Raw genomic sequence first — 20573 nt, 5'->3', positions numbered from 1 at the left:
CATTCCCACCACAGTGAGAATAGGAGACTCCGCCCCTTTCTTCCACTTTACCAGCTGTGTGCTCTTGGGCAAGTTTCTTAACTTGGGTGAGTTTCCACTTCTTCATGTCCAAGTAATAATAACCACTTCATTGCAGATCAAGTGTAAAACATAAAAAGCAATTCTTAATGCATGGTCTTCTGTTATCCTTGTTATGACCACAGTGATTGTCACAAGCACTATTTATTAAGAGAGGGAGAGCTAGAAGTGACGTTGTGGGTGAACAGCATGTCTCCTATATTCTACGGCATAGGAACCATGTGGCATAAGGGAAAGTGCACCAGGTTGGGGGCCCATCAGTTTCCACCATTAACTTGCTTCATGCAGACATGCCTCTTGAACCTTAAAATAGACATGGTAAAAGTCTGCTGGCTCCTGGCTGTGTGGCTCTGGGTAAGTGAGTTCACATTTCTGAGTCTTAAGTATCTCATCTACAGTGTAGGCATATTCATGCCACTCCATAGATGACCTGGGATCAATGCATGGGCGGTGCTCGGCACAGAAGCTGGAGTGGAGAAAGCATTCAGTAAGCTCCAACGAGCTGGGAGAGGTGGTGTTGCTAGGTCTACCTGCAGGAGGTGCTTGGGCCCCTGGGAGTTTAGCAACAGAGTTCTTCTATACCTGTATGCTGGACAGATCTGGTCTGAGCTCTGCATCTGCCTGGGCCTTGTCTGTGCCGGTGCTTGTGTCCCATCCCAGGGGCCTCCCTCTGGGTAACCACAGTGACCACGAAGCCCTTGCTAGCCTGTCTATAGGGTGGGCTACTCCTTTGTGTGCATTCTCAGATTTAGTCAGGACAGGCACATGTTTCCCTGCAGGCGAGACCTGTGACTAAGCTTCCAGTGGAGTCACCTGTAGAACAACCTGCAGGTGATCTAACACACCCGTGGCATCCCATGGGGAGGAATCCTGGAAACAGCTTGAACCTCTGGCATCCTGCGATCCCGAGGACCATCAGGATTTTAGAGATGCCATTTATGGTCTTCTGAGTGTGGCGGACCCTTGCTTCTCTGCAGAGTGAGGGAGGAAGCCGAGGACCCTGGGTGAATTTCTTTTATAATTTTGGGTGAATTTCTTAATTCATTCCGAACAGATGACATTATTTGTGTGCATAGAGGGGTATGTGGAAGGCAATTCCAAAAGAGGAATTTTAGTATTCTGAGGTATTGCAGTGTTATTGTTAAAGCACATAGCCTATGGTACTGCAAGAGTAGGATTTTGAAAGGTTTTCTTCTTTGTTTTGTTAAAAATCCATCTTATCCCATTATTGTTGCAGTAGGTTAACAGACAGCCATTTTCAGTTGGTTGATAATCAGCCTGGGAGAGCTATGCTGCCCGTCTCTGCCTCATGTGAGGAAGGATAGGGGCTTGGAGGAGTTTCAGTGGGAAGGACCTGCTCATATCGCCCAGCAAGGATTGTCATGGGGGTGGGATTTGGTGATAATAAATCACCTTCGGAGATGGGTGGCAGGACAAGAGCCTCACCTTTCTGTGACGATTATTTGCATTCAAGTGTTCCAAGAGGTGGCAAGACAGACCTGACTGCCTTGATCTGAAGAGCCCAGACCAACTCTAAAAGGTTTAGACTTTGAGCTTGTGTGGGAGATTGGCTCATGCATGGGTGGTTTAAAAATCCATTCTAGGCCGGTCGTGGTGGGTGATGCCTGTAATCCCAGCACTTTGGGAGGCCAAGGAGGGTGGATCACCTGAGGTCAGGAGTTCGAGACCAGCTGGCCAACATGGTGAAACCCCGTCTCTACTAAAAATATAAAAACTAGCCAGGTTCAGGTGTGCACATCTGTAATTCCAGCTATTTGGGAAGGTTGAGGCAGGAGTATCCCTTGAACCTGGGAGGCGGAGGTTGCGGTGAGCCAAGATTGCACCACTGCACTCCAGCCTGGGTGATGGAGTGAGACTCAGTCTAAAAAAAAAAAAAAAAATCCATTCTGGCTATAATTGCATAGTGAGACACTATGTGTAAATTATACATGTATCTGCATGTGTGTGTTTTAGTCACTAAATTACTCCACCTGTATGATGTTAAAATGCAATATGTATTCTTTCCAGGTTGACAACTATCTCGAATCACATTTGCTGTATCTTATTTGAATCAAGAAGATTCAATTATTAGTTAATAAAATGAATCACCTGTACAGTCCCAATACTGTATGGTTCATAGGAATTTCATGTAATCTTTGTTTTCAAAATCAAAGAGCAAACAACGTGTGTTCAAATTATCAAGGAAGGGCCAAAGCTCAGTGAGGTCAAGGACGGCAGACATAGGACAAGGACGCAGGCATTTTCATTCCTAGTTCAGGGCTTTTTCCAGGATGCCATGAGGCTCATTGGGGCATGGCTTCAATTTAGTGACATCCTGGGTCCCTTTTCTGTCTATGATTCCATGAGGGAGGGACAGAAGGTGCACATGTCATGCTGTCAGAGGCAGATGCTCAGTGTGGAGACTCAGGGGCCAGGGGACTTTTCACTTCTCCAGCCCCAACACGTCGAGCCTCCCTGTTAGCTCTGCCGCCTCCCGTGGGGTAAGTGTTAAGCCCCTGAAAATGAAGGGGTTACAAGTTCTGTTGTGAGGCCCTATAATAAAGGAGAGCTAATAAAGGCTTCGCCCCACCTTCTGACCAGATTGTAGAGATGAGTACCCCAATGGGACGGGGAGTGGTTGGAATGAGGAGAGGAAGAAGGCGGTGAAACCAGGGGATTGTGAGAGATAAGACAAGGATGCGGGCTTCAGGCTGTGACTAGGATGTGGCCGCGATCACAGTGGGGTTTCCCAGCATCCCCTGGTGAAATCTGCCCCAGTGCTTGGATTAAAAAGGACAGTAGTGGTGCACTGAAGAAGACCAGTGGTTGAGGCTTAGGTTAATTCACTCATTCCTTCCTCTATTTCATATTTATTGTTCTTCAGTGGTTACTAAAGATGTAAATATGAGTATTTATGTACCAGGCCCTGTCCTTGAGGAGCTCAAGGTCTAGTGGGAGGACTATAAATATGTAAATAAATGATGGCAACAGAGTGACAAGACCCTATGATAGGATGCACCGAAGTGTCTGAGGGGCAGAGACGTAGAGCAATTGATAATGCCAGGCAGGAATGCGGGGAGAGGGCCAGGAAAGCTTCAGAGTGGGGTTGAAATTTGAGCCAATTTGAGTACTAGGAGGGAACAGCTCTGTCATTCCTGGTTACTGTGTCATCTCAGGAAGCTGATTCCTTAGAGATACAGTGGAGATGATCACACTTATCTCAGAAGAAAGAGCTATGTGAAAAGTATGAGGATTTGCCAAGAAAAACATCCTGGGCCCCCATTGGACCAGGCCTAGTCCTTCTGCCCCTGCTGGCTGGCTGGAGCTCCGGCCCATCACCAGGCACCCTCCTGCCCCTCTTAGGGTTGGCAGAGGGTTCACGCACCTCTGAGTGCCAGCCAGAGAAGCAACTTGCGATGTCCTGGGTCTCCCAGCACCTCTTCCCAGCTTCCCCTGACCACAGGCTGAAGGTGTCTTAGCAAGGACAAGGCAGATGAATCCTCAAGTTGAAAACAGATCTGGACGGAGGGCAGGATGGGGTGGACATAATCACTACTTTTATTTGTCCTCGCACTGAGGATCATACTCCGGTCTCTCACATGGATCCCTGGGGAGCCAGTCCACGGAGCACAGCCGAGAGGCAGTCCAGGCTTAGTCAGAGCCACAGACCGTGGGTGAGGCTCCTGCTCTTCGGCTGCAGAGAGCTGCCTCCTGGCCTCTGAAGCCGATCCACCTGGGCCACCCTGCGGTCACAACTCCAGAAGACAGGAGGCAGGAAGAGGAAGTCTCTACTCTCCTTATCCACAGCGTTGTCTGTGCTGCTGGCCTGTCCCTGTTCCCAAATAAGAGCAGATGCCTGACAATGCCTCAATAAATATCCCTGCTGATTCAGTCTGAACTTAATTCATTTCCGCACCCCCGGCGTGAATGGTACCCTGTGCAGGGCAGAGACGAATGAGGCACTGTAATCAGTGCCAAGAGATTCAGGCCAGAAGCTTTGGTAACCTGGGCCCCCTGGCTCTCCCCTGCGGTGACCCCAGCTGCTCCTGTCCTTAGCCCAGTGCCCAGCTTCAGAACAAGTGGTCAAAAAAAAAAAAAAAAAAAAAAAAAAAAAAAAAATCCCATCTGCAGGCGCCGGAAGGGCAGCGCGCCCTCGCGTGGTAGGTGTTGGTATTGCCGGGATGCCTGCCTGACCCAAGCCTTTCAGGCTTTGAAAAAGAGCGTTCTGGGGATTCTGTCTTAGAACCACGCCAGGACATTTTAGGACTGAGTTCAATCCTGTCACTTTACAGATGGGGACAGGGATGCTATGGAGATCTGCCCAATATCCCAGAGGGGCGGAACAAGAAAGTAAGCCCCAGTTTTGGGGGCTCTCACTTGGTCTCTGGGCTGATCCAGTCAGATTCATTCTCAGGCCTTACAGAGACACTTTACATTGAAAAAAAGAAAAAGAAAAAACAGCCAAAAAGTAAACAAAAATTAAAAAGGGAACAGAGCAACTCCAGAGCTCACCACTGAGGACTCCAGGAGCCTGCACCGCCTTCCCTCCCGTCCCTTCCCTTCCCCTCTCCTCCCCTTCCCTTCCCTTCCCTTCCGTGTTTGCTTCCCGGAAGCCTCAGCAAACACTCCCAGACAGCCTGTTTTGTGCTGGGCAACGCCATAGGTACTAGTTTTTTTACCATGCCTTACAAGTGGACAAACACTTCCTTTGGAGAAATTTTACATAAGAGGGAGATGACATTTTCCACAATTTAGATCAGCCCAGGCCCAGGGTCCACCTTAAAAATATTAAATAATACAGCCTAGGGCCCACGCGAGTGCCCTGCTGGCCGGCCCTGGACTCTGCAGAGGGCTCCCTGGGGGTTCTCACCTGCAGCACCCTGGCAGGGAGGGACGGGGTTCCCATCCTCCCCATCTCACCTGGTGGAGACCCCTTGGTCCTTGGGTGAGGCTCTGCTTCCACACCCCCAGGCTGCTGTGCTCTGATGGAGTCTGAGATCGAGCCCACCTCCTTCATTTCATTTCTGAGGAACATGAGGCCAAAAGAAGGTGCTGCTGTCTAACGGCACCTGCCCAGAAGTCCCATCCTTATGGAACCAGGCTCCAGCCCCCCAGTGGCCCTTCATGTTATTTTGTGTTTCTGGTACACAGATCTGCTGGTGTGGGTTGGTGGCACTCCTGGCTGAGAACGTGTCTGCCAGTTCTGAGGCATGCACGTTTGCTGCGTTTCACTCTCAGCCAAGGCTAATAGGGGCCAATGCCCTTCAGGAAGTCATTCCCTTCAGGGATGGAACAATGGCTCTCCCCTCTAGAGGCATGACAGAGAGCCCTGCAGCGGTGCCTGTGCCTAAGAGAGACTTACTCTGTGCACTTCCAGAGGTCTGTCTGATTGCATTTAGAAAAGAAAAAAAACAAGAGTGAGTTTAGAAGAGGTTGCGAGAGGCCAAAGGCAAGATGACAAATATTCATTGCAACTTGAGCTGGGAATTGAGACTGTAGCCCCAAAGTGTACATTCTAGTGGGCTCTTTACAGCACCTCAGCTCATTCAGAAGCACACTGGACTCAGGCAGCGACAGAAACAGGAACACAGAGCATCTTCCCAAGCCACCTGTCAGTCAGGAAAAAGCTTGGCATGTGGTCTCTATCTCTCAGCATGTTTGTTTTTATTATTTTTTAAATTCCTTACTTGTAATTGGTGTTCACTACTATTGGAATTAGTATTCAACAAATTCAAGCAGGATCCAGAGAAAGGCAAAAGGCAGCTAAGCATTCAGGAATCTCCATGAACAGGGGCCCTGCCTTGCTCCAATTGCACAGAAATATGTTTTTTAGAAGGATCATAGAAGAATGAATGCTGGCTGATAGGCATACTGAGAATGCCATTTATGAATTGCTAGCCTGGGGGAAATGTGCTTCACCTGATGATTTTCATTTTTCTTTCATTCCTAAAATGGACCTGCTTACCCCCTATTATACACACTATCAGCTTGTTGTATTAATAAATTGAAATAGCCTAAGAGTAAATGCTTGAAAACAACACTATCCTACTGAAATGTGACCTGTTGGTGTTATTGCTTGAGGACGCATAAAGGGAAAAGGGATAAGGTGCATTACCATCTGGGTGAATAAGCAGGAGAAGGCTAGTGCTGGGTGTGTAAGAAAGAAGTCATCAGATGGAAAACAGAGCAGCAGATTGGTTGCATTTATGTCTCTCTGAAAATCAGTTTGGAGCTCGGTTTCTAGTCAGTTCCCATCTCCAGATACTTAAGAGATATTCCCTTGACTAGGAAAGGAAAGTGGAATATCACAAAATTCTGAGACCCCTTTGAAAAGGCAGTACATGGAGAAGTAAGGAAGTTAAAAAAATGTCTTTTATCAGCTCTTCACCTTTGGTGCTAAATTCATTCAACAAATATTTATTGAACACCTACTATAAGCCACACATTCCTTTAAGCCCTTGGGATACTTCAACATCCCTGCCTTCCGGGAGCTTATATTTTAGATCCCAGATCTGCCATCCATCTCTGGTTTCTCTTTTCCTTCTTCATCTGTATTTGATACGCAACACCTATTCCAGGGATCAGAGCTAATGTCACGCTTTTTCTCACCAGAATGGCAGAAAAAAAGTCTGCAGATCCCTTGCTGCATACGGCAGATGGTATTTCTAATTCCCAGTGGAACATCCCCTATGGATACAACAGAAGAGAGTTGACATTTAACTCATATAGTGCAGAGAATAGAAGATGAACCCAGCCCACTGCCAAGGGTTATATATTCTGACAAGGCTAAGTATTTTTGGACAAGCCCCAGTTTAACCGAACTTTGGCCTCTTAGCTTTAAAACAGGAACGATAATTTATATCTGAAATGTTGCCAGGAGGATGATAGGGTGTGTTTTATGAATGCTCACCTGGCCCATCTAGGCCCTAAAAAGCCCACGCAGATCTTAAATGAGGGTCCTCGAGCCTCCTGGTGAGAGATGTGCACTAGAAGGAAACAAAGGGAGTTTTGGAAAACAGAAGTGGTCCAGAATAGGACAGGTCTTGGTCTCTAAGGAAATTAGAGGTATTAACCCATTCTCAACTTATGGCCCAATTTTTAGTTTTATGTCCTACAACGAAAAGGAGAAAATAAAACCTCTCTCCTCACCAGGACCTGTGGGCTTGTAAGTCACAAATGACCACCTAAATTTTTATAACAACAGGACATTGGGCAAGAGATGGTTGAAAGAAAGATCTTACTTATGTCAGATCTGCAAATGCTACGTACGATGACTTTAAACAGCAGCAACAACAGCAGCAACAACAACAACAGCACAGTGTTGGTCTTGCGTGATTAGGAAAACACTCTTGCACAACATCCAACCTCCAAACGGGGTCTAATCCCTGATTCTGTATCATCTCAGCCCTGTCACAGCTTGGAGGAGACAGCAAAGTGAAGAAGGTGGGGGGTCCACCTTTAGTCAAGACAGAAGAGCCCCCAGCCTGGAAGCGTGGAGACCTGGATTCTGGTCTTACTTCTTCCAATATCTCATTATGTCTCCTTAGACAACTCATTTAACTGGTTACACTTCAGCTTGCCCATCTGTAAATGTGTTCTATGTGCAAGCAGGGGGAATATTATAAGTTTGAAGACCTACTATGACCATAAAGATTCATTGCACCATGGTAAATTAACACTTTCTCTGGACTTTGGTTTTCTTTTTGTAGAGCATGGGGCTGCTATAGACAATCTCTGATTCCCTTCCAGCTCTGACATTCATATGACTATAACTTCCTTCTGAAAACTTTTCTCAGACTGCAGTGAGTGCTTGCCACTTGTATCAGAGCAAGCATACCCCTTTGTCTTGTGTCAAGACCTTTATAACACTTATTTAGCTTTTAAAAAACTTCACAGGGGAGATCAAAATTGTCCAAGACTGAGCCCCACAGTGGCCCACCTGCATCCACTAACAACATACAGACACATCTACACACTGTCCATACAGACACACACATAAATGGAATTCCTGCACTACCTTCCCCAGGGCTAACCAGGAGACATTTACCTGAGTTTGTTTGGACCAAACAAAAGAGAACAGCAAACAGAAAAAAGACCTTCATGTTTTAAGGTCCGTTGAACCTCCCTGCCCTCCCGTGAAGGAGCACAAATATGATGAATGATGGAATGAAATGGAGCGGAGAAGGCACAAAATGGGACATTTATAGGTTTTTGGGAATACTGATCAGCATGAGCATATTTATCTGCTCTACTGAGTAAGGCTGTGGGCAGAAGGTTACTGACTACTCTTCCCTTTCTGCCTAAAAATAGACTGGCTTCCTGATATTCAGAGAAGCAGGGATCAACCAATAATTCCATATACGGATATTGAAGAGGAAAGTGAACCAACATTGAGGTGTGGCTACTTAGTGCCAAGCCCTGTGCTAGGTGCTAGAGACATGGTTGTGTAAAGATATATTTTCTGCCTTCAGAAAGCTGCGGTGTCCACCACAGTTGAGCAGATAATTAGCTTATTTCCCAGCAACATGACTCCCATCTACCAACAGAAACATAGGCCCACGTGCATTAGGAGACATGTGCACGAACGTTCATTGTAGCACATTTCCTTGCAGCCAAGAGAATGCAACCAAATAGTGTATTATGACAACAACAAAACACAATGTATTTCCACACCACAACAAGAATAGAAAAACAAGAAGATGTGTACAACAACGTGGATGAACCTCACAAACGCTATGCTGAAAGAAAAAAAAAACAGAGACAACGTACCACATTATTCCAAAAATTTGGCAAAATTCACCTATTTATGAAGAGCCAGGATATTGTCTACTTTGGAGGAAGAGGACATGCTCTTCTCTCATTTGATGAAGTTATCCGCTGTCGGAGGTGACAGTCTAGTGAGGGATGCAGAGAGCCCCCGGCAACCACAGGGCTGTGTCATCCTGGGCTGGAGGGAGGTTTGTGGGCTCTGGGGTGCTGGGAGTTGTGAAAACAGAATCTGCAAGGACACGATATTTTTGTGTGTGGGTTTATATAATGTGTGGTATTAAAACACACAGTGGATAAAGCTGCACATTTTGCCCCTATTTGATTTTAGTCCCAGGATCACTTAGATTTATTTCCCTTAAAATTCTCTTAAGCAAAAGGGGCAAGAGAGAAGGATGTCTTCTCTCCTATCCCCCTGGGCTTCATAACAATTGCTGTTAGCTTCTTATTAATCCTTCCAGAGGTGTCCCATGTGTATGGAAGCAGAGATGAATCCATACCCCATTTTTATGTAAGCAATAGCAGACTCTAGATATCATTCTGGACTTGCCTATATTACTTGTTATAGCTTGCAGAGCCTTGTTATTCTTCAGATTAGACACATCATATTTTCTGCAAGCTGTCTTCTGCGTTATTTAACCAGCCTCAACAACCATATCTCACCATGAGTCTTACCTAGACATGGATTTTGAAAAAGAGACATCAAGCAGTGGTCTTGGACTTTCTGCATGGGTGAACAGTGTGAGCATCTCAAAGAGGCAGGGGCTGGGTGTTCATTTTGAACTTTCCACCTCTGGAGAGATTAAGCAGGACAATGTGCCCTGGCAGGGACTCTCTGACTCACAGACCTTTCTGTACCTTGCAAAATCACCTTCGAAGTTAAGACTTTAGGGAAAATTGGGCACTCCAAGCTGCTTTTGACCCTCCATCAAAAAAAAAGAGAGAAAAAAAAAAGTTACCTTAAATGTTAGCTATGTACTAAGTAATTGTAAAATAGTTATGAATATTTGTGAGGGTCCAACTCAGTACTTTAAGAAATCGATTAAAATGTGAAATTCTTTCTCTGTGGAGCATTTGTTCTGAAGACATCTCTGAAATCTCTCAAAAAAAAAAAAAAAAAAAAGAAAGAAAGAAAAGCAATTTCATTTGCCCCTTAGGGAAATTGGCTTCCACACCAAGATGATACCCTAAGTTCAAGGGTCCCAAGGAATAATGACAATTCTGAATGTATCCTGTGCATGGACAAAGTGGCTGTACGATACATGAACCATTGTTTGATAAAAACACTGAGTGTGGATATTCAAAAATTTGAGTCATTTTTTAAAAGTCACTAAGATGACTTATAGATAAAACAATAAAATGCATATTTTATACTTTACATTCATTCTTTCTATTTATACTACACGTTATTTGGAAAGGATCCAAGGTAAATGTGGATGGCATATTTTTTCTAGCAGTACAGTTACTAATCAAATCATTGTGAAATTATAGTTTAGAAAATTTCTGTATAGTTTGGAAACAATAAACTATGTTGGAAAATAAATTCATTTGGGGGAGAAATAAATTAATAGTATTAAATTTTATCATGTACCTTCTCCTCCAGACTTGAATCCATTCCCAAATCACAGACCCAGAAAGCAATCCCCACGGAACTATTTTGTGGATAATTCTGAAGAATAAGGCATATCATTTCAAAGAAATCAAACTAGAAAATCACGCTTATTGGCTAATTTTGTTAATATCTGGTTATAGGTTCATAGGTTCATATAATTGCAGAGTTGAAAGGAAATAGAGTTCAATTTGTGCCAACACACAAGCTAATTATTCTGATGTGCATCATACTCATGAATGGAAAAGAAGAGTGTAAGGAGAAGAGAGGAAAGATAACTTTGGGTTTGCAAACATTTGATAGTAGAAAAAATGTTTCTATATTTTAAAAAATATTGATACAATTCAACAACAAAAAGACAAACAACACACTTAAAAATGGACAAAGGACTTAAATAGATTTTTCCAAAGAAGAAATTCAAATGACCAGCAAGCACACGAAAGATGCTCAATATCATTAGTCATTAGAAACATGCAAATCAAAACCACAATGAAATATCACTTCACATCTACTAGGACAGTCATAAAAAAAATAAAACTTCAGAAGCAGTGGCTCACACCTGTAATCCCAGCACTTTGGGAGGCCAAGGCGGGTGGATCACAAGGTCAGGAGTTCGAGACCAGCCTGGCCAATATGGTGAAACCCCATCTCTACTAAAAATACAAAAATTAGCCGGGCAATTAGCTAGGCATGCTGGTGGGTGCCTGTAATCCCAGCTACTCAGGAGGCTGAGGCAGGAGAATCGCTTGAACCCGGGAGGCGGAAGTTGCAGTGAGCTGAGATCGGGCCACTGCACTCCAGCCTGGGCGCCAGAGCGAGACTCTGTCTCAAAATGAAACAAAACAAAACAAAATTTTTGAAAACAGCAAGTGTTGGTGAGAATGTGGAGACATTGTAACCTTCATATGTTGCTGCTGGGAATGTACAGTGGTGCAGCTGCTGTGGAAAAGTCTGGCAGTTCCTCAGAAAGTTAAACAATATGAGTTACCAATATGGCCTAGCAATTCAACTCCTAGGTGTATACATACAAGCGGTGAAAATAGGTGTTCAAACAGCAACCTGTACATGAGTGTAGTGTTCATAGCAGAATTAGTCACAAGTGTCAACGGTGGAAGCAATGCAAATGTGCATCAGTTGATGAATGTATAAGCAAAGTGTGGCACATCCATACAATGCAATATTATTTAGTCACAAAAGGAAAAGAAGTAATGCCACATTCTCCAACATGGAGGAACTTTGAAAATCTCACATTAAGTAAAATAAGCTAGGCACAAAATACCACATATTGTATGATTCCATATATATGAAATGTGCACAGCTGGCAAATCCAGTGGCTGCTTACTGGTGTCTCCTTTTGGGATGATGAAAAAGTCAGCTGGGGTTTCTCCCCACTTTTTTATCCTCATGGACAATGCTAATGTTACTCCTCTTGCTCCGGAGGTTTTATTTATTTATGTATTTTGGGTTTTCAAGAAAGAGGCAGGGTTTGTGTTCATGAATTTAATCTCTCTTTATGAAGGCATACTAACTTTCCATTTTGGTCTTATTATTTATTTCCATTTTGGTCTTATCAACTAAGGGAGATTCCCTGGGTGCAGAAGGTCATTTCCCATGACCCAAAGAGGTAAAAATAAGCCAGGTGAGAGCAGGTCAAGCCTGCAGAGTTGCGGTGACGACCACATGTAGGGACAGGAAGAAAAGATTAGAAGCGCCCATTATTTATGTCACACGAGGTGCAATGGGGTGGAATTGACTGAGCCTGCCCACCTGTTCCTTGCCCCGCAAACCTCAGGCATTGAAGAGAAGACAGGCTTCCTGATGATGGGGACTCTCTGAGCAATGGATGAGTCAGAAGGATCAAATCCCGGGAAAAGCTGCTGGGGTGCAGGGGAGGGAAGGATGCTGCGCGGAAGGTGGGCGTGCAGAGTGGAATACAAGGCAGTCAGGTGTGCTGCAGTGCGTTCTGAGACAGCCTCCAGCAAGCTTCTGTCTAAGGACCTCTTCCCACTGCGTAAAACTGGTGGCCATAAAACCTCATCAGGGCTCAGGGGCCTGTACTAAAAAGCTGCTGTGAGAACAAAGAATGCATAACTAACGGAATTGGTGGCTCAGGACTGACCTTGAGAACCCATTATATTTATTCAGTTGTCTCCAAGCAGGATGGCACATTTGTTTTTTTAACGTCTGTAATTTTTATTTATTTTTATTTTATTTTACTTTAAGTTCTGGGATACATGTGCAGAACGTGCAGGTTTGTTACATAGATATGCATGTGCCATGGTGGTTTTCTGCACCCATCAACCCGTCATCTATATTCTAAGCCCCACATACATTAAGTATTTGTCCTAATGCTCTCCCTCCCCTTGTCCACAACCCAGCACTGCAAATATTATAATATCAAAGAATGAGAGGAAAAAAAAATCAGTTTCTACCTGTTTTTTATGAATCCCAGGTAGGCTCCAAAATCTCCCTGGGTAACATGCTTTAAATGTCATATCATCTTTTTATAAAATTTTTATTTATTTTTACTCACCGCTATGCAAACAAGGAGTCTTATCATCTTACTGCCCAGGAAGTGCTTTCTTATGTTAACTCTGTGAGTTTCTGGATGCAACTTAAGTCTACAACAGAATGTCTTTGCTTATAATTAAGTGATATCTTTGTATATACATATATATGTTTATTTTTAGGCACATTAATTTTGTTCTTACAAATGTATATTTAACATTTAAGAGTAATGCAATAACTTGATGGTATTTTTAAAGGTGCAAATATCTAAAAATCACCAATAATTTTAACATTAGAAACTTTATTGTTTTTAAGCATACTTTTCACAGTTAATTTTATATCAAATATGTGAACATTGGTATCATAATTTTTAGGACATGTAAGTATTTTGAAAATGTTATGCATTTTGATGGTTTTTCACTGTGTTATATTTATTATACCTAAGGAATATGTAATATCTCTGAGTAGATTTATTGTAGTTTGCTAATATAGTGCTCCATTTTGAACTTTTTAGAGTTTTTTTTGGTTTCTCAAAGTATTTTTTTATTTCCCAGGATAATTTCTGAGCAGAATAACTGAAACAATGAGAACGAGTATTTTATATCTTACATACATATTAAGATTGCTTTACAAAGAGGTTATTTAAGTTACCAGTGCTTCTGGTTTTGTATGTGAGGACTAGTTTCATATACCTTCATTATCCGTGGGTATCAGCCCCGTGTGAGTGTGCCCATACATAAGTTGATTAAGGAACATCTTTGTTCAGAAAAAAAGCCTGGAAAGGTGGCATTCTGTAAAGGGCTCTGTGTACCTAGTTTCTTTCCTATGCTGAGCCCCAGGATCCTGATTCTTACCCAGATGCTTATACTTAGGTTGGTGCAAAAGTAATTGCGGTTTTGACCGTTATTTTCAATGGCAAAAACCACAATTACTTTTGTAGCAATCTAATACATAACAATATTTGCAGGAAGTTTTAATTTATGGGGATTAAAGAAAGCTGCAAAGAGAATAATGAGCTCAAAGTTTTGTGATGTGCAGTTTATTATTAATTAACTTGAGCCTAAAATAATGATCACTGATGAAGATTTTATGGACAGATTAGGCAAATATCATTATTTCTTCCCTATTTATTTATTAAAGACATCCATGAAACTTCTTTTAAGTAGAGATACCCTACAGAAAAGTTTAAGACAAACAGCAGATTCTACCCACATTCACTCTTTGCCACCTCTCACTCGCTTGCTTACCCTACCAAAGCAATCCTGCACAGCTGGTCTGCATGAGCAAGCAGATGTTAGCGGTCAGTGTAAAACTAGCAGAAGTGAAGTCAGCACTTTTAGAAACTGGAAGAGACTTAACTGAACTGGAATATGTGCGATTTCAATGGAAAAATGCAGTTTTAAAACAATCAATATGTATTTATTCCTAATGAGATTTGAGAAACTGTGGTCAGCAAAATGAGAATTAGATCCCATGAGAAAGTCACACGTTGAGAAAGAAAGGGACTATTTGCAAATATAAGACTATTTAAAAATAATTAAAAATCTAATAACTGAACTTCAAAATCCAAAAATAGTAAAAAAAAAAAAAAAATAGAAGGGCTCTACAGATATAAAAATAAATATCTGCAAAGTAGAGAACAAAAGGGAAAAGCATGAAAATTATGGTTGAAAGATAATGAGAGGATATTTCAAGGATAACTGGGGTTTAAGCAGGAGGCATTCCAGAGAAAGGGAAGATAATTGATGGAGGAAAGAATATGTAAGGTTAGATATAAAAGGAGCACATGTACATGGATAAGAATAAAGCGGTAACCTGGCCGGGCGCGGTGGCTCACGCCTGTAATTCCAGCACTTCGGGAGGCCGAGGCGGACAGATCACCTGAGGTCGGGAGTTTGAGACCAGCCTGATCAACATGGAGAAACCCCGTCTCTACTAAAAATACAAAATTAGCCAGGCATGGTGGTGGACACCTGTAATCCCAGCTACTTAGGAAGGCTGAGGCAGGAGAATTGCTTGAACCTGGGAGAATCGCTTGAACCCGGGAGGTGGAGGTGGTGGTGAGCCAAAATCGCACCATTGCACTCCAGCCTGGGCAACAAGGGTGAAACTCTGTCTCAAAAAAAAAAGAAAAAAGAGAATAAAGTAGTAACCCAGTAAAACTATTAAATTTTACAGAAGAGAAAAAATGATCAATAAACAAAAGAAAAAACGCTCAACTACACAGTAATCAAGGGTGTGCCAGACTGATATCTGCAAGATGGTGGACTAAGAGGCTCCAGCCTTTCCTTCCTTCCACGGATATACCAAAGAAATATCAACACACAGATCGGTTCTTTCTGAGAGAAAACCATGGACTAATTGAACGACTACTACACATCAAGCAACTGAGAAAATATTCATGTGAAAACAGGTGGGAAGAGCTGAGACACACTCCCCGCACAATCCCTATCCCAGGCATAACACCTTACAATTAATTGGTAAGGAAGTCCCAACTCCTAGCTTCTCCCTGAGGAGTGAAGGGTTTGGACCACACATATAGTACCCTGACCTTTATGCTTCCCACCCAGGGGTTTGGCTCCTAAATCACCCAGCTCAGGGTTGATAGAGCTGGGCATCTGCAGGTCTCCCTAAACCACAGACACCAAAGAGATGGTGGGACACAGATTTGCAAGCACTTTTGGCAGCTCTCTCCCTGGGCTCAGGCCAGAGCAGGCAGGTAAATGCCCACCTCCCGGTTTCTACCTGCAAGGGGTTTATCTACCCATTTTCCCATCTGCTGCCTGAGGGTTGACTTCTGGGTCTGTATCTGGGAGCCAAAGGGGCAGGGTGAACAGTAGACCTGTGGGAGCCTGAACAGAGGTATAGGTAGGCACTGCACCTGCTCCTCTCGACTAGCTCCAGCAAGAAATCCAGGTCTCCAGCTTCTCCCTTGAAGGAGAATACTTCAAGCACAGTTTTATAGCTGCCACCTGGGGGACTGGCTCCTAAATCACTTATCTCTAGAAGTTAATGTGAGGCAGGAGAATTGCAGAGGAAATTGGAAGTTGGATAAAGGATAGAGTGAATAAAAGCAGAAACAGAAGCAAGGTGAAGGGGTGGGTGAGCAAGAAGCAAGATAAAAGGCAGAAGTGAAGCAGCCAAAAGAAAAAGTGAGATAAAGAAGAGAGCAAGGACCCCATGGCCAGCAAGATCCAGATCAAACCAGGAAGGGGCAGCTCTTCAGAGATAGGCATGCGCATTAAAGAGAAAAAGTATCCTTAACAGGATGCTGTATGATAATCAGCTCATTAAAGCTCATGCATATGGACTACCTATCACGCATGTAGTTAAAATTATGGGATGGAGACAATTCACAAGCCCGCACAGGCTAAAGTAACTAAGCAACACACCTATCTATCAAAAGGCAGGCACCGGCAAAAGATCAGGCAGCCTTGCGAAGAGAAGGGGAAAAAACACATAAAAAGACCCAAGGTACACCGAAGCCATGCTAATCTCATTTGGCAGAAGTCAGCCCACTCTCCCCTCTCCGGGAATGTAATACTGCGCTTCACACACTTTTGCTGCTTGCTTTGCTGTCTGAGTATCACATCCAGTTCTTTGTTCAGGACACCAAAAGCCTGGAATTGCACAGCACCATCGGGTTATAAATGGGTCTCTGCATTTTGTGTCTTCTAAGGCCACAGAGAACAAATGGGTAGTTTTAAAGGGGCACAAGAGGACTTCCAGAGGGTATTCTTCCAGGTTTAGCACAAAGAGAACAGGCAGTAACTCCCAGCTCTCAGTATCTCCCCAGAAGGCATTTGCCTGCACACTCTCTCAGCTGCTGCTAGAGAACAGGGCTTCGAACTGGCCTGCAGGTAGGAGATGATGGGGCTGATGGAGAATGGGTTTGACCACACACCTGACACCTCAACTACATTTCACAGTACTTAGAATAGAATGGACTCCATTGCACAGTACCTAGAATAGAAGTAGGTATTCAAAAAATAGTTTTTAAATAAAAGAACAAATTATTTTAATTCTTTCTAATAAAAGTTTATGATATCCACATTTACTAGCACAAATTGTGTGATTTTGAAAATTCTGTTCATGTCAAGCTAAGTCATCTTCTGTAAGATCACAGGTAGCATTTTTGTCATTTATCTTGCCACAATAAAATATTTGAACTGTCTGGCACAAGTGGCAATATCTCCGCTCCCTGCTGCTCAGACACTTCCGCAAAAAACCTGCACCTGATTGGACAACGTGGCCCCGGAGAACAGGTAAGTGGCAGAGCTTTGTTTCTATATCAGCAACATCAGTTTTAATGTAAACAGCAGGCGTCTTTCTTTTTAGAGCAGTAGCCTACTTGTGTTTCCATATAATTACAGTATTCTTGGCAGAAGCCTTCACTTCTCCTGCAGTCAACAACTTTTAAATCTGATGCAGGTTCTGCATTAAAAAAAGAAAAAATCCAACATTAGCTTCTTAAGACCATCTCCAGAATCAAACAGTGGTCATTTGAGCCGTGAGGGACAGGGTGGGGGTGGCATGGATATGAAACAGCTTTCCATAGTTAATAGCTTCAAGTTCCAAACTAAAACATCAACTCCAGATATATAGCTCTGCCCCACTAAATCTCCTTTAACCAAAGGAAGGAATAATCCTGTCTCACAGGAATACTGTTAGACTAAATAACACACGCCTACTATTGCACCTGTTTATATTTGTTGTGTAATAATTGAGTTTTCTTTTTCCCTTCCCTTGGGAGGAGATCCAGATGAATGAGTCCTTTGGAACTGTGGGCCAATTAGAAAGGGATGGGAGGTTGGGTAGGATGCTGCAGGCATCAAATTCAGCAGGACTTTATTTGCTGGATGTCACAGCAATTTGCCAACACCCTCCTGTCTTTCTTGCTCTTGCCCACTGATCTGCTAACCTAGTTCTCCCTGTCTTAGGGTCAGCAATCAGCTTGGCATTAAAGAAGCATCTTGGAAACTACAGGCTCTTCCAGGCCCTTTTGGATTTGAAGCTGGTCCTGCCCAGGGGTTTGGGGGCTGACCAGAAGCCTGGCCCTTCTGGAAGAGTCCAGAAGAGTGGCTGTGGGCTCAATTGTCCCTTGCCATGTCCTGCTACCTCCTTGCCTGAGTAGACTGACAATACAGTCTATTCTCTGCCCCCATCCTCAGGAAGCATTTCCCAGACCTCAATGGACACCTGAAACTTAGTAGGTAGGTATTCAGTAAATTCCTTGAACGGGAACGACCTCCAAAGCTAAGGGCATGGGGCTGCAACCTGGCAGGAGGCCATGTTTCCACCAGTGTCTCCTCTGGCACCTGTTCTTGGAGGAAGCCAGCAATTACTGGTGTGGCTTCAGATAAATTGCCTTTTGGCCCCTCAATACTCCCACGTTCCACAAGGCCCTCAATGATCCAGCCCCAGGGGAAGCTGTGAGACCCCGTGGTCTCCCTGACAGGCAGGGCAGCCCAATGCACCCGCACCATGTCTTCCCCAAACAATGACTGCTCACCCACCCCGACCAGCACAGACATCTTCCCGTCTATTTGTTCCCTCTACGTCTCCCCAGTGGATGCACTTGTTGCACGTGTTGGTCCCTGACTCACCTTGGTAAGGTGGGGTGCGCGGTGGTAAGAGGTCCCGTTTCACTGCGTGGCGTAGCAGCTGAAACCCGTTTGTGCCTTGCCCAGGGGCTCTTTCCCTGAGTTCTCCGAGAGCCTCAGTGGCTGAGTGGTTCACATGTCTGGCTTGAGACGATCCTGTGCAAGTGGAAACACACGTCTGCGGATGCTCTGAGGCCTCCGCCTGGCAGACCCGTCAGCATGAGGCACCTACACTCTACCAGGTGAGTGAGCATGGGTGATTGGGTGGGGGAGTTGGGAGGGGTGCTAGTGTTCCGTGTGTGTGCACATTTGTGCACATGCGTTGTATGCACCTATGTGTAGAGAGAGAAGGTGAATGAAGTGTAAGAAATGTATGCCATGAATGGTGAGTCTGAGCACCTCCTCAAAGCCAGCACAGCCAGAGAATTTATTTCAAGTGTCACTAATGCAGTTGTTAAGATTCCCTAAAATGTAATGTTCTTCTCTGTAAGGGAAAGGGGAATGTTAAAAGGATAAGAAAATGGAGTCGGGGAGGGACACTCTTCCCTGGGAAGCAAGTGCCATCAGCCAATTCAGAGTGCCATTTATGAACCCAGTTCAGAGACTCGTACCCAAAGCTCCACCAGGAATACATGCCCCAAGGACTTCATCTCTCCCTGTCCAGCCTGGACTCCCATACCTCAGATGACCATTGCAGAGAGATTCTGGCACCCAGACCCGGGTCACCTTTCCATTTTACCTGGAAACAGCAGGGCCACAAGGAGAAGGCTGGTGACGGACGGGAGCAATCGTTGCCTCATGTCTGCCAAGAGCACTGCAAGCCAGAAAGCACCCAGGGTGGGTGGGCAGGCAGCGGGGCTCCTTTGATGGAGTGAGGCTGGGTGTGTGGGCCCGGAGCGTGGGAAGAGCTGTGCTCCAGGATGACTTCTCATTCTCAAAGGACAATGTGGACACGCTACTATCCCACTGCTGGTGGAACAAACACTTGAGACACATATTTCAGGAAGTAAATAATACGCCTGAATGCCTTGGGTGGGTTTGGTGAATAAGGAAGAACAGAGAGAAACAGAAAGATGAAAGGCATGGAGGGGCAGAACAAACATAACTATCATAAAGTTGCCAATGTCCTCAAACGCTTCTCAAAAGCCCCCTAATGTTCATGAGAACAGGGACATAAATAAACTGCCATGTCGATTCTATCCTGTTGGCTGAGCGTTTTTATTTTAGTGTTAAAAAATCATGCATAAGACACACAACATAACAGGTAGGACCTGGTTTTACAAACTATCCCTTCCTGAAGTTATACAGAGAGTTCCAAGGCTGCTCAAAATGTTCTTTTCTTTTTCTTCTCCTCTCTGAGTCTCTCTCCCTGTTTCTTGGTCCCCTCCACTTCTCCTTCCTCACTTTGGACCCCCCTCCTTTCTATTTTAACTTATTTGAGTTGTCTTGATTTTTCTCTCCCCTTTCCATTCTCTTTACCCCCAGACACCTCCTGTTGATGTCACTGGGTCCAATTCAATTCTTTTAAAAAAGAAAAAAAAAATCTGTGTTTGAGTCTGGGTTTTCTCCTCTAGTAATATCCAAGCAGAGGACTTGTCTTCCCTTCTCCTTCATCTTTTTAAGCATTTTAACCAAGTGTGTGTTTCTTACTTGGCTGCATTAGCTCAGGTATGCATGTAACCCAGACAGTCTGCTCTGGACTTAACTAAAGTGAAGAAGGCTTTGGTTGAAGAGTTTTGTATTCACATAGCATCCAATGTAACATCAGTGATGTCTGGAAAAGATAGTGCTTATCTCATATGTCTCATTTGCATGTATATTTTAATCCAGACAGAGAAAACAACTTAGGTCATTTGTGTAAATAAAAATACTTACTCTCTACCTGGAGAAAGCTGGAAGCAAATGGAGAAAGAGGCAGCAATGACAATAGAGACCTGGGCATCCGCTGAAGCACCAGCAAAGGGCGGAAGGTTTGCAGCTGCGGACAGTTGCACATAGCAGCTGCCCTG

At 44.1% G+C, this 20573-nt stretch overlaps 1 protein-coding gene and 1 pseudogene across 5 annotated transcripts; both read right to left on the bottom strand.

Moving 5' to 3' along the window:
- Positions 1-20573, bottom strand: part of LOC124901865 (translation initiation factor IF-2-like) — a 451468-nt pseudogene that overhangs the window by 197781 nt on the left and 233114 nt on the right.
- SPAG11A (sperm associated antigen 11A) lies at positions 3614-19403 on the bottom strand. 5 transcript variants are annotated; one of them, NM_001081552.3, is made up of 4 exons: positions 19304-19403; positions 18568-18720; positions 6688-6765; positions 3614-3910 (listed from the first exon to the last, which is right to left on the bottom strand). In NM_001081552.3, exons 1-4 carry the CDS (start codon positions 19362-19364, stop codon positions 3876-3878), a joined length of 327 nt encoding a protein of 108 aa, NP_001075021.2. In that variant the 5' UTR covers positions 19365-19403; the 3' UTR covers positions 3614-3875. The 5 variants fall into 5 exon arrangements, with proteins under 5 accessions (NP_001075021.2, NP_001350655.1, NP_001382413.1 ...); NM_001363726.3 differs by lacking the exon at positions 3614-3910 and adding an exon at positions 6989-7064 and having other exon boundaries at positions 6468-6765; NM_001395484.1 differs by lacking the exon at positions 3614-3910 and having other exon boundaries at positions 6468-6765.

This window comes from Homo sapiens, chromosome 8 (genome assembly GCF_000001405.40).
Source record: "Homo sapiens chromosome 8, GRCh38.p14 Primary Assembly".
Taxonomy (NCBI): domain Eukaryota; kingdom Metazoa; phylum Chordata; class Mammalia; order Primates; family Hominidae; genus Homo; species Homo sapiens.
Note: the sequence above shows the minus strand (reverse complement) of the source record. Positions and strands in the feature narration are given on the sequence as shown.

Excerpts from the sequence above, each read along its gene's own strand:
- SPAG11A (NM_001395484.1), bottom strand. The coding sequence starts at position 19,364 with ATGAGGCAACGATTGCTCCCGTCCGTCACCAGCCTTCTCCTTGTGGCC. Across the intron at positions 18,721-19,303 it reads TGTGGCCCTGCTGTTTCCAG|GATCGTCTCAAGCCAGACAT; the intron begins GTAAAATGGAAA and ends CCACTTGCACAG. Across the intron at positions 6,766-18,567 it reads GCGCACCCCACCTTACCAAG|GGGATGTTCCACTGGGAATT; the intron begins GTGAGTCAGGGA and ends TTGTATCCATAG.